This window comes from Homo sapiens, chromosome 10 (assembly GCF_000001405.40).
Source record: "Homo sapiens chromosome 10, GRCh38.p14 Primary Assembly".
Taxonomy (NCBI): domain Eukaryota; kingdom Metazoa; phylum Chordata; class Mammalia; order Primates; family Hominidae; genus Homo; species Homo sapiens.
In genome coordinates this window covers 48,265,490-48,283,110 of record NC_000010.11, presented here as the reverse complement: position 1 = coordinate 48,283,110, position 17,621 = coordinate 48,265,490, and the positions used below count along the sequence as shown (strand labels likewise).

Genomic DNA, 17,621 nt, shown 5'->3' with positions numbered 1-17,621 from the left:
ATGAGAGTGGCACCATTCATTATTACCCCTAGTGACCCACAGCAAAACTTTTACTTCCTGTTTCTGTGACCTTATGCTGTGCATGCTGTCAAGTCTTAGTTTCAGATGAAAGAATGTTTCTACTGGGAGACACAACAGTTAAGACTACCCAGTCACTGTGGGTTCTTCATGCCTCTGAATCAACAGGCAAAGATGGGAGTTACTATGCTGGTTGGGGTGACTGATCCTCACTGCCAAAGGGAAATTCAACTGCTGTTACACAATGGAGTAAGGAAGAGTCTGTCTGAAATATTGGAGATCTCTTAGGGCATCTCTTAGTATTACCATGCCCTGTGATTAAGGTCAGTGGAAAACTACAACAACCCAGTTCAGACAGGAGCTACCAATGGCTCAGATACTTCAGGAATGAAGGTTTAGGTCACTCCACCAAGTAAAGAACCATGGTCATCTGTGATATATGCTGAAAGCAAAGGGAATACAGAATGAGTAGTGGAAGAAAATAGTTATAAACACCAGCAACGACCATGTAAACAGTTACAGAAATGAGGACTGTAATTATCATGAATATTTCCTCCTTATTTTGTTATGAATATATTTTTGTGTGTGTATATAATATTTGTTTTCTTTCCTTTCTTATTTCTTTATCTGTAACATAATATATATTGACTTTATATCATAGTATTTAAGTATTGATAATTTTACATCAAGTATTTAAGTTACAATATATCAAGAGGAGAAGTAAACATCATTCAAGGATTTACCTCTCTTATGGGGAAAGGGTTATTACTTTTTTTTGTTGTATGCAGGATAATTGTAACATGTTAGGTGAAATAATGCCCTTGTTATTTTCTTGTCTTTATTTGGAAATTAAGTGTGATACACACTTTACAGATATACTATTTGTCTTTAAATCACAGTCAAGTAGACACAGGGTAGAATTGTGATGACTAATTTTATGTGTCAATTTCATTGGGCCATGGGTTGCCCAGATACGTGGTTAAATGTTATTCTGGGTGTATGATATTTTTTGGCTGTGTTCTCACCCAAATCTCATCTCGAATTCCCACATGTTGTGGGAGGGACTCGGTGGGAGGTAACTGAATCATGGGTTCAAGTCTTTCTCATGCTGTTCTCCTGATAGTGAATAAGTCTCATGATAGCTGATGGTTTTAAAAAGAGGAGTTCCTCTGAACAAGCTCTCTATCTTTGCCTGCTGCCATCCATGTAAGATGTGACTTGCTCCTCCTTGCCTTCTGCCATGATTGCGAGGCTTCCCCAGCTACATGGAACTGTAAGTTCAATTAAACCTCTTTCTGTTGTAAATTGCCCAGTCTCGAGTATGTCTTTATCAGCAGCATGAAAATGGACTAATAGAGTAATTTGGTACCAGTAGAGTAGGGTGCTGCTGAAAAGATACCCAAAAATGTGGCATCAACTTTGGAACTGGGTAACAGGCAGAGGTTCGAATAGTTTGGAGGGCTCAGAAGAAGACAGCAAAATGTGGGAAAGTTTGGAACTTCTTAGAGACTTGTTGAATGGCTTTGACCAGAAGCCTGATATTGATATGGACAATAAGATCCAGACTGAGGTGGTCTCAGATGGAGATGAGAAACTTTTTGAGAACTGGAGCAAAGGTGACTCTTGTTATGTTTTAGCAAAGAGAATGGCGGCATTCTGCCCCTGCTCTGGTACCCCCCAAATTGGTACCCCATATGCCCCAAATTGGAGGAGATTTTTGGAACTTTGAACTTGAGAGCAATGATTTAGGGTATCTGGTGGAAGAAATTTCTAAGCAGCAAAGCATTCAAGAGGTGACTTGGGTGCTGTTAAAGGCATTCAGTTTTATAAGGGAAGCAGAGCATAAACATTCAAATAATTTGCAGTCTGACAATGTGATAGAAAAGAAAAACCCATTTTCTGAGGAGAAATTGAAGCCGGCTACAGAAATTTGCAAAAGTAACAAGGATGAAGCTGGAAACCATCATTCTCAGCAAACTAACACAGGAACAGAAAACCAAATACTGCATGTTCTCACTCATAAGTGGGAGTTGAACAATGAGAACACATAGACACAGGGAGGGGAATATCACACACCTGGGCATGTTGGAGGGTGGGGGGCAAGGGGAGTAATAGCATTAGGAGAAATACCTAATGCATGCAGGGCTTAAAACCTAGATGATGGGTTGATGAGTGCAGCAAACCACCATGACACATGTATACCTATGTAAAAAACCTGCATGTTCTGCACATGTATCCTAGAACTTAAAGTGTAAAAAATAAAAATAAAAAATTTTTTTCAAGTAACGAGGAGCTGAATGTTAATCACCAAGACAATGAGGAAAATATCTCCAGGGCATGTCAGAGACCTTTGTGACAGTCCCTCTCATCACAGGGCTGGAGGTCTAGGAGGAAAAGGTGTTTTTGTGGGCCAGGCCCAGGGTCCCCGTGCTGTGTGCAGCCTAGGGACTTGGTGCCCTGTGTCCCAGCCACTCCAGCTGTAGCTGAAAGGAGCCAGTGTCAAGCTCAGGCCATGGCTTCAGAGGGTGCAAGCCTCAAGTCTTGGCAGCTTCCACATGGTGTTGAGCCTGCGAGTGCACAAAAGTCAAGAATTGAGGTATGGGAACCTCTGCCTAGATTTCAGAAGATGCTTGGAAATGCCTGGATGCCCAGGCAGAAGTTTGCTGCAGGGGCAGGGCTCTCATGGAGAACCTCTGCTAAGGCAGTGTGGAAGGGGAATGTGGGATCGGAGTCCCCATACAGAGTTCCTACTGGGGCACTGCCTAGTTGAGCTGTGAGAAGAGGGCAACAATCCTCCAGACTCCAGGATGGTAGATCCAATGATAGCTTGCACTGTGTGCATGGAAAAGATGCAGACACTCAACACCAGCCCGTGAAGGCAGCTGGGAGGGAGGCTGTACCCTGCAAAGCCACACCTGCAAAGTCTTGGGGTGGAGCTGCCCAAGACTATGGGAACCTACCTCTTGCATCAGCGTGACCTGGATATGAGACATGGAGTCAAAGGAGATCATTTTGGAGCTTTAAGATTTGACTGCCCCACTGGATTTCAGACTTGTATGGGGCCTGTAGAACCTTTGTTTTGGCCGATTTCTCCCATTTGGAATGGCAGTATTTACACAATGCCTGTACCCCCACTGTATCTAGGAAGTAACTAACTTGTTTTTGATTTTACAGGCTCATAAGTGGAAGAGACTTGCCTTGTCTCAGATGAGACTTTGGGCTGTGGGCTTTTGGGTTAATGCTGAAATGAGTTAAGACTTTGAGGGACTGTTGGGAAGGCATGATTGGCTTTGAAATGTGAGGATGTGAGATTTTGGACGGGCCAGGTTGGGATGATATGGTTTGGCTGTGTCCCCACCCAGATCTCATCTTGAATTCCCACATATTGTCGAAGGGACCCGGTAGGAGGTAATTGAATCATGGGTGCAAGTCTTTCTCATGCTGTTCTCATGATAGTGACTAAGTCTCATGAGATCTGATGGTTTTAAAAAAAGGAATTCCCCTGCACAAGCTCTCTGTCTTTGCTTGCTGCTATTTATGTAAGATGTGACTTGCTCCTCTTTGCCTTCCACCATGATTGTGAGGCTTCCCCAGCCACATGGAACTGTAAGTCCAAGTAAACCTTTCTTTTGTAAATTGCCCAGTCTCAGGTATGTCTTTATCAGCAGCATGAAAATGGATGAATACAGTGTACCTGTAAGGTTGTTTCCCAGTGAGATTAGCCTGTGAGTTGGTGGACTAAGTAAAGGAGACTCCTCTCCCTAATGTAGGTGGGCATCACCCAGTCTGTTGAAGGCTTGAACAGAACACAAAAGCAGAGGAAGTGAGAATTTGCTCTCTCTCTCTCTGGCTGACTGCACTGGGCCATTGGTCTTCTGCTCTTTGACTGGGACTTACCATGTTTCTCAGGCCTTTAGACTCAGAGTGAAACTATCTCATCTGCTTTCCTGGGTCTCCAGCTTGCAGATGGCAGATTGTGAGGTTCTCAGCCACCATAATCACATGAGACAATTCCTTATAAATAAATATCCAATTGGTTCTGTTTCTCTGGAAAACAAAAGGGCACAACTGGCAATCGGATTTATTATTGAATTTCACTTGATTATATACCTCACTTTCCAGAACTCTCTATAAATAGGAGTAAACACAGTTTTTGAAAGTGAAGCAATTAAATTAAAAAATATATAAACTCAAAGATTTCGATCAGCCTAAAACCTCCTTCAGCTGATAAACAACTTCAGCAAAGTTTCAGGATACAAAATCAATGTACAAAAAAATCACTAGCATTCCTATATGCCAACAACAGCCACGCCGAGAGTCAAATCAGAAAGGCAATCCCATTCACAATTGCCATAAAAAGAATAAAATACCTAGGAATACAGCTAACCAGGGAGGTGAAGGATTGCTACAATGAGAATTACAAAACACTACTCAGAGAAATCAGACAAGACACTAACAAATGGAAAAACATCCCATGCTCATGGATAGGAAGAATCAAAGTCATTAAAATGGCCTTACTGCCCAAAGCTATTTACAGATTCAAAGCTATTTCCATCAAACTACCAACAATATTCTTCACAGAACTAGAAGAAAACTATCTTAAAATTCATATGGAACCAAAAAACAGCCTGAGTAGCCAAGGCAATCTGAAGCAAAAAGAACAGAGCTGGAGACATTGAGTTACCCAACTTCAAACTATACTACAGGGCTACAGTAACCTAAACAGCATGATGCTGGTACAAAAACAGGAACATAGACCAATGGAACAGAATGGAAAGCCCAGAAATAAGGCTGTACACTTACAACCATGTGAATCTTCAACAAAGCTGACAAAAACAAGCAATGAGGAAAAGACTCCCTGTTCAATAAATGGTGCTGAGATAACTGGCTAGCCACATGCAGAATATTAAAACTGGACCCCTTCCTTACACCATATACAAAATTAACTCAAGATGGATTAAGGACTTAATGTAAAACCAGAAACTATAAAAACACTGGCAGACAACCTAGGCAATCAATACCATTCAGGACATAGGAACTGGCAAAGATTTCATGACAAAGACACCAAAAGCAATCACAACAAAAGGAAAAATTGACAGTGCGATCTAATTAAACTTAAGAACTTCTGCACAGCAAAAGAAATTATCAACAGAGTAAACAGACAACCTACAGAATGGGAGAAAATATTTGCAAAATATGCATCTGACAAAAGTCTAATATCCAGCATCTATAAGGAACTTAAACAAATTTACGAGAGAAAAACAAACGACCCTATTAAAAAGTGGGCAAAGGACATGAACAGAAACTTCTTAAAAGAAGACATACATGCGGCCAACAAGTGTATGAAAAAAGCTCAACACCATTGATAATGAGAGAAATGCAAATCAAATCCACAATGAGATACCATCTCACACCAGTCAGAATGGCTATTAATAAAATATGTATAAAGAAACAGATGTTGGCAAGGTTGCAAATAACAGGGAACACTTATACACTGTTGGTGGGAATGTAAATTCATTCAACCATTGTGGAAGACAGTGTGGCAATTTCTCAAAGACCTAGAGACAGAAATACCATTTTACCCAGCAATCCCATTACTGGGTATATACCCAAAGGAATATAAATTGTTCTATTATAAAGACACATGGACATTTATGTTCATGGCAGCACTATTCACAATAGCAAAGACATGGCATCAATGTAAATGCCCATCAATGACAAATTGGATAAAGAAAATGTGGTATACATACTCCATGGAATACTATGCAGCCATAAAAAAGAATGAGATCATGTTTTTCATGGGAACATGGATGGAGCTGGAGGCTATTATTCTTAGCAAACTAATTCATGTACAGAAAATGAAATACAGTATGTTCTCACTTATAAGTGGGAGCTGGATCGTGAGAACTATGAGCACAAAGAAGGAAACAACAGACACTGGGGTCTACCTGAGGGTTGGGGGGGTGTGAGTAGACAGAGAACCAATAACTACTGGGTACTGGGCTTAATATCTGGGTGATGAAATAATCTGTACAACAAACCCCCATGACATGAGTTTACCTCTGTAACAAAACTTCACATGTACTCTCGAACCTAAAATAAAGTTTTTTTTTTAAATGATCATACGCAATAAAGAATTTTGACAGGAAAATAACCTTAAAAAATAAAAATATATAAAATATAACAAAATTATATAGGGAATGACACAGAGATAACTCAGAGAGAAACTATTAGCTTTGATAACTTGAAAAACAAAAACACATTGATAAAATTTTTATGCAAAAAAATGGACTTAATGAAATGTTAGCAGAGCAACAATAGAAGGGGGTTACTGCTAGTATTTTTAACAGAAAAAGTGAAAGTGGTGGTGACTTTAAGCAGACCAGCATTTACCTGTTGGCAGATGACTTAGGTGTTGCTTTTTGTTCTGTTGTGAACGAGCCACATGACTGGAGAAGTCAACTTTCTTCTTCTGGGAGAAAGGTTGCGTGGTCAGCCTGAAAAAATTACTAAATAAAAATTACCTGGACACTTGCTGAAAATACAGATGCTCTGGCTCGGGCCCAGAGATTCAGGTTCAGCAGATTCAGGGTGGTGCCTGGGAATCTGCATTTTATCGTCTTCAAGGCTGAATCTGATGAGAAGACAAGTTTGGAAAAAACAGTAAAAGATTGTTGCAGATATTGTGAAATGTTTTGCTAGCTAGCAGGGAATGTCAATATAGATAGCTTTAAGCAGAAAAAAATGTAAAACATTGTGTTTTTTAGTTTTTTTCAAGTAATATAACATAAGGTTATAGGGGGAAAATACCAAAATGAACAATAATTTTCCTGACTAAATAATGAGCCAAAACTCTTTCCCCTAGCAACCACTATTAAGTTGCTTGTGATTCCTTCCAGAACCACAAGAATATGTCTACATAATATTCTAATATACTACAGTGTATAAAGAATATGTATACATAAATATACGTAAATATACCTGGTCTTTATGTACCTATTTGTAATAAAAGGAAACATACTAGGCTATTCCATACCTTTTGTCACTTAAAGAATTTTCTAGGCAATTGTTATATGCCAGCACACACAGATCTACTTCCTTCCTTTACACAGCTGCATAGCTGGTTTTCTACTGTGTGTGAACTACAATAATCACTGTTGATGGGCACTTCAGTGGCTTTCAGTTTTCTGCTACTACCAAAATACACTGCAAAGAGCATCCTTTCTCAGATGCTTTGGTGAACTTTTGCAAGAATGTCCATGGGGTTACTTCTTAGCAGCTGGGTTTACAAAGGATATGTACATTTACAAATTTGATGAATATTACCAAATTCCCTGCAGAGAAGTTGCACTTATCTGTAATCTCACTATTGGCATATGAGAGTACTCATTCTCCATGCCCTCACCAGCACTGAGTTTCATCAGATTTTTTTTTCGAGACAGAGTCTCGCTCTGTCACCCAGGCTGGAGTGCAGTGGCCCGATCTTGGCTCACTGCAAGCTCCGCCTCCCAGGTTCACGCCATTCTTCTGCCTCAGCCTCCGGAGTAGCTGGGACTACAGGCACCCGCCTCCAGGCCCAGCTAATTTTTTGTATTTTTAGTAGAGACGGGGTTTTGCCATGTTAGCCAGGATGGTCTCGATCTCCTGACCTCGTGATCTGCCCGCCTTGGCCTCCCAAAGTGCTGGGATTACAGGCATGAGCCACTGTGCCCGGCCTCAAATTTTAGTATTTTATTCTGTAGTCAGGCAAAAACTCATGTTTTCTTTTTAAATAAATACGTCTCAGTTTTGACACTGCTATTGATTTAAAGGGCTTGAGAGATCTGTTCTTTTGCCCCTTCTACTACAGAGCTATGATCTACTTCTTGCTGTTCCCCATCTCTGCTGGTTCCTTTCTGAATCCAAGCACCAGAAAGAGTAAGAATTCCTTTCCCCCTTTCTCTAACCACATTTTTCTTGCTTTCTCACAGACAGATCCAGGTTATCATTTCCTCCTGCTGCTTTCACATGGTTCCCTGTCCTGTTGGTTGCAGGTCCAATGTCTGACACTATGAAAGGGCATGGAGGACTCTTGAGTTGATGACACTAAGCCTCTGCTCTGGGGCTGCCCCCAGTTCCTTGCAGAGCTCTTTCTTTTGATTGGGCCAGGAGATAAAGAGACATCAGCGTAAAAGCCCTGCTGAGCAGCAATCCCATTGCCTTCAGTGGCACCTAATCCACTTGAGCTCTTCCTGGCTCTCTCACGGGTCACTGGCTTTGAGGACGCAGGCTGCTGGGGTGGCAGTGCCTGCTAACAGGCCAGAGACTGCGCAGGACCCAGGGAATGAGAGTGGTGGCAGGAAAGGGAAGGGGCCTTGTTGACTCACTCGCTGGGCAGCAAGTGCTTAGTGACAAGCAGTAAACAAAGACAGCGGCAACAGTGCTGGTGGCAGGGAGCTCCGCGGACAGACTTGCAAGAGACCCCTGCTCCTTGTTGGAAAGTTGTCCCATGATGAAGGCCTAGACCTGGTCACGGAGACTTTTGGATGCAGCCTTTAACGAAGGACGCAGGTATTCCTTGGCATCATTCAGTTTTCTCCTATAAATCTGGTCAGGGAAAGGGCAAACTTCTTACTGGGTCTAGGTATCCGGAATAAGAAGAACACAGCTGGGCAAGGACCTGTGTCAGTGCCCTTTGTGGTATTATTTGGAGTATTATTTGTTCCAGGCCATTGGCTAAGCCTGATAGACATTGTATTTGTTTTTTAGCAATAAAGAATGGGCTCAGAAGAGAAAACATGGACTTTAGAATCAGACCACCCCTTGTTTGAATCACTGCTTTGCTATTCAGCATCTGTGCAAATTCAAATGACTCTTTTAACTTTCCTAAGACTCGTTTTTCTTACCTGTAAAATGGGGATAATAATGCCCCATGCGTTACGATGTTGCTGAGGATTCATGGGGTGACACGCGTAAGGCACTTAGAACATACTTGGAGCATTTGAGTAGCCCAGTAAATCATGGCTGTCACTATCTTTCAGAAGCAAGTGTTTTGGTTATTGCTTAAAGAGTATCAGTGGTTTAAAGTAAGAAGACTCAGGGTATGCCTAGCTGACTTCCAGAAAACAATGGAAAAGAAATGATTCACCTGGCTTTATTTGTATGCTTAAAGGAAAGAAAAAACTCAGTTGAGGTTTTCAACAGTGTAAACAACTTTTTTTTTTTTTTAAAGCAACAATTGAGTTCAGAGATGAGTCGTGTCTATTTCTCCTGGCTAAATCCTGTGATTTGCTATAGGCTGTAGCTGAAACCAATTAAGTAGTTCATTAATTCAACGAGAACTTACTTGGTATCTCCTGGGGCCACATGCCAAATGCTGGGGATGTCTCCCCCAGCCCAGAGGATCTTCCAGGTTGTAGGACAGTGGGGGTCGGGGGGCAGAATGCTGGACCTGCATGAAAACTGGCGGTGATAGCAAGTGCCGAAATGGAGGTGGCACGGGCTCCTGGGAGAGGTGTTGCTTGAGCATGGCTTTAATGCTAAGCGAACACTAGCAGGAGTTGGGAGCAGGGGGATTGGAAAAGGCATCCCAAGCAGAGAAAAGCACATGCAAAGGCCCAGTGGCATGAATAAGTAAAGCATGCTCTGGGAACAGCAGGCAGTTTGGCCTAACTTTAGTAAAGTGGGAACAGGGGAATCTGATAAGAAAGGAGGCTGCAGAGGTGAACAGGGGAGAGCAAGGAAGGCCTTCTATGGCCCAGAGTTCACTCAGAAGGTCCCAGATAGGCACTGGTAGTTTTAATGAAGGATGTGTCGTGTCTGCATTTAATATTAAGAAGATTAATCTAGTAGCAATATGGGTGTGGGATTGGAGAGGATGAAACCTGGAATGATGACAGATGGCCTAACCTAAGAAAACAACAGTGGAATGTAGAGAAGGGGAGGTCTCCAAGCTGGTGCTGCCAGCACTGTGAGCAAAAACAAATACATATGCATCTAATAAGTTCATTATAAATTTTACTGATATGAAGGATGTATATTGCACAATTTACAAGTAATAAAATATAAAATACTCTTTATTACAAATTCTATATAGCCATTTGATTCTCACAGCATGCATTTGTTGATTTTTGCTGAACTCTTATACCCTTGGTCAGCCTGTTTGCAATTGACCACTGAATGTAGTTCCAATATGAATGTTGGTTGATATTTTTGTTTACATTGACAAGTAAGAAGAAAGTGAAACAATGAAGATGATTGTCTTAACTTCACTCATCTGTCAATGACATGAGTGACTGCTGGATCAGATCATAGTTTTTGAATTTGGAAGAGTGTTTTCCCAATTTTTGTGTTATTCACAATGTAACAACTATGGACGCGACACACTTTTAGGTTTAATCTGCATGAACATTTTCTCCATCACTTTCTTAGTTTTCTTAGGGAATGAAAAAACAGCAAACCAAGCCCTAATTTGTAGCTTTTGCCAATTTTTGTGGTATAAATACTACCACCATGGCCAATCACAAGCTCCCAATGTGATATCGCTGAACACAAAGGTGGAAGGGCTGTGCACCAGCACACCATTACACAGTATTTCCATCATAGAAATGTATTTCATTTAAATAAGTTCCAAAGCACAGACAACAGTAAAATGCAGTAAAATAATTTGGAAATGGTGAGTTTCAACATATTGTTAATATAACTTATTTAATTGGAGATTTTTATAATACTTTTTGGTAATGGCTGTGTTTAATGACCAGCTTACAAAATTTCTGGAAATTTAACAATTGGCTCTCACAGGCCAGTAGGAGCCTTCTTCAGCATATCACAGAATCCAAGAAAGGTTTAAGGAGCAGAATACAGAGTGGTGAGAAAATGACTCATGGGTGCAAATGAAGGGGGCACGAAGGAAGAATTAGGAAGAATACTTCCTTCTCTCTGGGGATGAAGCTGTCACTCACCAAAATGTTGGACTTATTAAAAAGAACACCATGAATAGATGACTATGAATTCAACTGCTCAGGAATAGCAAGGGCTGCGGTGTGCAGCCCAGGACAATGCTACCTGCAGCTCCATTAGTGAAGTCATTTCTGGTCTGAAACCCCAGTTTTGCTGGCTTGTCTCTAGCCTATTCCCTGCCCTCTCCATATACTCAGGATTCATAATATGAATAGCTAGGATTTATTGAAAAACTGCCATATGCCAGACACAATAACTCATGGTATAAACGAGTAAAGAGAGGAAGTAACTTGCCCACGGTGAGGTGGGATCAATCCAGCTCTGACCTCGGAGCCTGCTCTTCCAGCCACTATGCTTTTCTATTCTCATTCCCCTCCTGAATTGTATTCACCCTGAGATATCAGTGTTTTTAGCTGCTTTCCTGGCAGAAGTCTGCTTTCGAGGCTGATTCCTATTCCTCAGGCTTCCTTTTACTGGTCGCTGGCAGCTCTACTGTTAACTGCCCTCCCTTTTTTTTTCTTGCCTTGGCTGTAAGCCTCCTTATTCCTGTATTTGCTTGAGCTATCATAGCCCAACATTGTTGGAAATAGAGTAGGTAGTGAAGGGAGGCAGGAAGGAGATGTGTAGGATGGTGCACAGGAACCAGTTCCAGGAGGGCTGGTGCCAGGCAGGAGGCAGATCAAGGCTGAGCTGTCAGAACTCACTCTTCAATAGATTCAAGATGGGTTAAACAGTGTCTGGCTGGAGAGTAAATGTATTAGACATTTTAAAAAAGTGCCATCTAGGAATTTCTTTTGTTTCTTCTATCAGTATCATTTTTGTATGATGCCAGTCCAGAGTGCAGGCAGCATCTGAAGTATTCACTTGTTAATTTACTGAGTCATTCAGCCAGTGGGGGAAGAAGGAGCTCCAGATGCGAGTGTCCCCACAGAGCCTGCAGAAGGACAGGAGGCAAGGGGGTTGTGGTGCGTCTAAGGCTGGAAAAAGGCCATGGGGGAAAGAGGAAGCTGCTAGAGATCAGTCCAAAGCGGTGGGCCTGAGGTCCTGCAAATCTTGCTCAGGATCTGAGCTGATCCTTTGGAGAATAGAAAGTGGCTGAAAGTTTTCACGAGGTGTGACATGGTCAGATTTGTGTTTTAGGAAGAGGACTCTGCAAGACAGAGAATGGATCAGGGCAGGGGCAAGGTATGGTTGTAGGAAACCATTTTGTAGAATTTACATTTCAGTGGTCATTCAGGGGAGGGTGCTGGTGGCTTAGACCAGGTCAGTGGTGGTGGGGTTGGAGAGAAACAGGCGGATTTTAGAGAGATTTTGGAGATGGTGATTAACGGGCTGGGAAGTTGAGGGATGGGAAGGAGACAAAAATGTCGTCTGAATGTTTGGCTTGAGGGGTTAGGTGGTGGGAATGCCATTTGCTGTATTCAAATAAGAGAGGTTGAAAGAGGAGGAGGTGGGGGGAAGGTGAATTCAGCTCTCTACATCTAAGGGGGTTGTCTAAAGGACATCCTGGGATCACCAAGCAGGAGCTCAAGAAACGGGTCTGAGCTTAAGACATGGCTGTGGAGGGGATGGACTGATGGTTGGTAACTTTGGAGCATGTAGAGTGATTTGAAGAGGGAGCCAGGGCAGAGAGAAACCCAAAGACCACTGACATTTGGCATTGCCTTTATTCATTGTTACAAATAATACCATGGCAAATATCTTTGAATATACATCTTTGTCAATTATGTTCTTGGCATCAATTCCCAGAAGAGGAAGACCCTGATGGCAGGAATGGACATCCCTTGGCTTTTGATACAGATTGCCAAACTGCTTTACAAATCAGCTGTCGCAAATTGGCCACACATAAGTAAGGTCTCTGAGAGGAACAGTGTCATTGCCACCTCATGGGCACTGAGCGCTCATCATCGAAGCCCACTTGAGGGATGAAAATGGGCCTCGAGACCACGTCCACTAGCAGCTCCTTGGATTATAGGCAGGAGTGGACAGTTTTTCCATATTGTTTAATAAGGAATCACCGTTTCTTTTATGACTTTTCTTAGTCTCACTTTCTCAATTACCTACTGCTGTTGGGCCCATAAGATTTTTCTCTCTGATTCTTTGCACAGAAATAGTCACTTTCGGTTTGACCTTCATCCCTTATCCCAGCTGGCTGTATAGCTCTTTGTAGATATCACTGTGGGAAGCAACTTCCTGACTCAGGGCCTGAGGAGGGGTATGTGGTAAATAAAGCCCAGGAGAAGAGCTTGAGACCAGAGTCCTCTCCCTGAAACCACTCGGAGTGGGATTCTGGACAAGCCTTCACCCTCACACCTTGGCTGTCTCCCATTTCCCATCTGTGCTACAGCAGGTCTCCTGGGTCTGTCAAGTGTGAGTTAAGGACCCCCTCTTCACTAACCAGTATTTTTAATGGTCTGCTCTGGATGGATTAATTTGACTGAATGAAGCTGCTTCACTTCTAGAGGAAAATTTTTAAACAAAGCATTCACCCAGTGGGGTTTGTGACAGGGCAAGCCACTTCTCAACCTGCATTAGGCTGGGAACCCACGGACGGCCTGGCCCTGCCTGAGTCCCATCAGCCAGAGGTTTATCCCTCAATCATCACTGCAGGAGGAGAGAAGGCTATGCTCTCCGTGAAGGGGGAACTCTCAGGCCTGTTCAGCTTCTGCATCCCTCTGAAGGCTGCATTTCAGTGACGCTGGCCACCCTTGTACTAGGTACCACCTGCCCCACCAGCAACATCCACATGCAACACGCCTCTGTGCATCCTATTTCCTATATGCTTAGAAATGTTCCCTAGGAGGCAGAGAATTGGCATTGCTGGGACTTGGCAAATACATGTTCTCAATTTTGATAGATGGCTCTGAAAAATCTATACCAATTTAATTCCCATGTTAATGGGTGTTATGAGAGGGCCTGGTCTGCAGCCCCCACCTTGCTAACATCAAATATTTAAATTTTTGACCCTCTTGATAAATTCTCATTGCTGTTTTGTTTTCCCTGATTTACTAGAAACACAGCAAATCTTTTCAAATATTTATTGAGTAGTTGTATTTTTTCACCTGTTTATTTCTTAACTTTTAAATTAAAGAGTTGTTTTTTTCTAATTGATGAGTAAATAGTAACCCTTTTGCCATTATATATATTTTCTCCTAATCTGTTGCATATTTTTGTTTACATTTAATTTTCATATATGGTCAGATAAAAAGTTGCAAAGAAGTTGCAAAGAGCACAGAGAAGTCCCTATACTCTTCCTCCAGTGTCCCCCAGTGATTATATCTTACCTAACTACAGCACAATGGCAAACCCAGACATTTGACATTGGTACAATATGTGTGTAAAGTACTATGCCATTGTAATACTTGTGTAGATTTATGTAACCACTACCACAATCAAGATACAAAACTATTCTATCGCCACAAAGATCTCCCCCAGCTCCCATTCTACTCCCTACCACCCTGCTTCTACTATCTCTGAGATCAGTCTCACAAGCTGTGACCTTTTGAGACTGGTTTTTCTCATTCAGCCTAATGCCCTTGAGATCTAATCAAGCTGTTGCACGTATCAATAGTTTGCTCTTTATTGCTGAGTAGTATTCCATGGTATGAATATACCACAATTTGTTTAACCATTCACCAAATGAAAGACATTTTGACTTAACAGTTTTTGGCTATCACAAATAAAGCTGCTATTACAAATAAAACACACACGTTCACATGCAGCTTTGTGTGTGGATATTCATTTTTTTTCCTCTGGGATAAGTGCACAGAAGCACAATTGCTCAGTTGTATAGTAAGAGTATGTTTAGTTTTTCTCTTTTTTAAAAAGAAACTGACAAACTCTTTTCTGAAGTGGCTGTACCACTTACATTCCCACCATCAACTTAGAAGAGATCCAGTTTCTCTGTATCCTCATAAGCATTTGGTATTGTCACTTTATTTTTTTTTCCTGTCATATAGGTGGGGAGGGATATCTCATTATAGACTTCATTTGCCTTCCCCTTATGGCCAGTGATGTTGAACATCTTGTCATGTGCTTATCTGCGATGTGTGTATCTTCAGTGAAATGTCTTTCCATGCCATTTGCTCATTTTTCTAATTGGATTGTTTGCTTTCTGCTGTTAAGTTTTGAAACTTCTTTGTAGACATCCTACATGTGAGTACTCCATATTAAGCATGGCACCTAAACCTACTTTCTGCCTCTATGGATTTGTTTATTCTGGATATTTCATATAAATGGAATTACACAATGTGTAGGCTTTTACATCTGGCTTCTTTCACTTTAGCATAACGTGTTCAAGGTTCATGCATGCTGTAGAATGTATCAGTACTTGATTTCTTTTTATGGTTGAGTAATGTTCCATTGTATGGATGGACCACATTGTGTTTATCCATTCATCCCTTGATCGACACTGAGTTGTTTCCACTTTTTGGTTATAAATAATGTTGCTATGAACATTCACATATATTATTTGTAGAAATATCTATTTGAGTCCTTTGCCCATTTTGAAATTGGATTGTTGGTGTTTTTGTTAAGGAATTGTAGGAGTTCTTCATGTATTCCAGTTACTAGACCCTTATCAGATTGATGATTTGCCAATATTTAATATTTTCTGCCATTCCGTGGATTGTCTTTTCAGTTTCTTGATAATGCCCTTTGATACAGAAATGTCTTTTGATGTCTGTTGTCCGATTGGGTCATTTCTCTTGTTCTCTTCTCAATCCGTGGATTCTCTACTCAGTCTTCTCCATTCTGCTGTTGAGCCCACCCATAGTGTTTCTAATGTTGGTTATTGTATTTTTCAGTTCTAAAATTTCCATTTGGTTCTTTATATTTCTTTGTTGAGCCTTTCTATGTCTTTGTTTTTATTGTGCTTGTCATTGCTCACGAAAATCCTGGTCAGATAATTCTGACATCTGAATCATCTTGGTACTGGCTTCTGTTGTCTTTTTTACTCAAGTTGAGATTTTCCTGGTTTTTGATATGATGAGCAATAGCGACTGAATCCAAGATGTTTGGGTACTATGATATGAGACTCTGGACCTTACTTAGAGCTTCATTTTTAGCAGATGTTCCCTGATACTGTATGGACAGAAGGGCTCTGCTTCATTACTTCCGGGTAAAAATGGAAGTCTAGACCCCCCACTCAGTCTCTCTTGATAACCTTGAGGGCATCTTGTTGTGACTGTTCTGGCTCCCCTCTAGTCCTCTGCTGACACCACCCTTGCTAGGAGGGTCGGGGACACCTTATTACTGCTCCTCATGCAACACGTCAGGGGATGCCTTGTTACCACTGCATGGTGGTAAAAGTACTGACCCTCTCTTACACCTTCCCTGGCACCACCCCCGTGGGGAGGCCAAGGGGCATCTTGTTATCACCAGAGGAAAGTGGAAGTCTAGGGTGTGACGCAAGTCACCACTAGGTGGGAATGAGAGTTTCAGCTCCCACTTGGCCTTCTCTGAACTGACTGTGTGGAAGAAATGACTGTGCCTCATTGTAGCTGGATGAGTGTAATGTCTGGGCTCTCCCTAGGCCCTTGCTGACTATTTGTTGAAAAGACTATCTCAAGACTAATTGCCTTTGCTCCTTTGTCAAAGATCAGTTAAATGTATATGTATTGGTCTATTTTTTGACTCTATTTTGTCCCTTTAATCTATTCGTGTATTCTTTCACCAACATCACATTGTCTTGATTAATATACCCTATAATAACTCTTTTTTCTCTTTTTTAAATTGAAGAATGCATATTAGAAGTTTTTATTTTTTATTTTACTTTTTAAACTTTTATTTTAGGTACAGGGGTACATGTGCAGGCTTGTTATATGGGAAATCTCGTGTCACCAGGGTTTGTTGTACAGATTATATTATAAACCTGGTACTAAGCCTAGGACACAATAGTTATTTTTTGTGCTCCTCTCCCTTCTCTCAGTCTTCATCCTCAAGTAGGACCCAGTGTCTGTTGTTTCCCACTTTGTGTCCATATGTTCTCATCATTTAGCTCCCATTTATAAGTGAGAACATGCAGTATTTGATTTTCTGTTCCTGTGTTAGTTTGCTAAGGATAATGGTCTCCTGCTCCAACCATGTTCCTGAAAGGGGCATTATCTCATTCTTTTTTGTGGCTGCATAATATTCCATGGTGTATATATACTACATTTTCTTTATCCAGTCTACCATTGATGGACATTTAGATTGATCCCATGTCTTTGCCACTGTGAATACTGCTGCAATGAATATACACATGCGTATTTCTTTATGATACGACGATTTATATTTCTTTGGGTATATACCCAGTAGTGGGATTGCTGGGTCAAATGGTAGTTTTGGTTTTGGCTCTTTGAGGAATTTCTACACTGATTTCCACAATGGTTGAACTAATTTACACTCCCACCAACAATGTATTAATATTCCCTTTTCTCTGCAACCTCACCAGCATCTGTTATTTTTTCTTTTTATTAATAGCCATTCTGACCAGTGTGAGATGGTATCTCATTGTGGTTTTGATTTGCATGTCTCTAATGATCAGTGATATTGAACTTTTCTTCATATGCTTATTGGTTGCATGTATGTCTTCTTTTGAAAAGTGTCTGTTCATATCCTTTGCCCACTTTTTAATGGGGTTGTTTGTTTTTTTCTTATGAATTTCCTTAAGTTTCTTATAAATG

The 17,621-nt window shown here is 41.3% G+C and overlaps 1 protein-coding gene across 3 annotated transcripts in view, besides 1 other annotated feature; it reads left to right on the top strand.

Moving 5' to 3' along the window:
- Nucleotides 3,438-3,607: an enhancer, noted in NCBI's record as "active region_3330". NCBI's record gives its function as "activates an Ori minimal core promoter by ATAC-STARR-seq in GM12878 lymphoblastoid cells {active_cell/tissue: GM12878}" and the evidence as "EXISTENCE:reporter gene assay evidence [ECO:0000049][PMID:35858748]".
- FRMPD2 (FERM and PDZ domain containing 2) overlaps nucleotides 8,216-17,621 on the top strand; it is a 118,337-nt gene continuing 108,931 nt past the window's right edge. For 2 of the 3 annotated variants that reach the window (XM_047424652.1, XM_011539327.3), the window contains exon 1: nucleotides 8,216-8,568. In XM_047424652.1, coding sequence (XP_047280608.1) covers nucleotides 8,544-8,568 — 25 coding nt within the window. In that variant the 5' untranslated portion in view covers nucleotides 8,216-8,543. The remainder of the gene's footprint in view (nucleotides 8,569-17,621) is intronic. The other variant, NM_001018071.4, reaches the window with a different exon arrangement.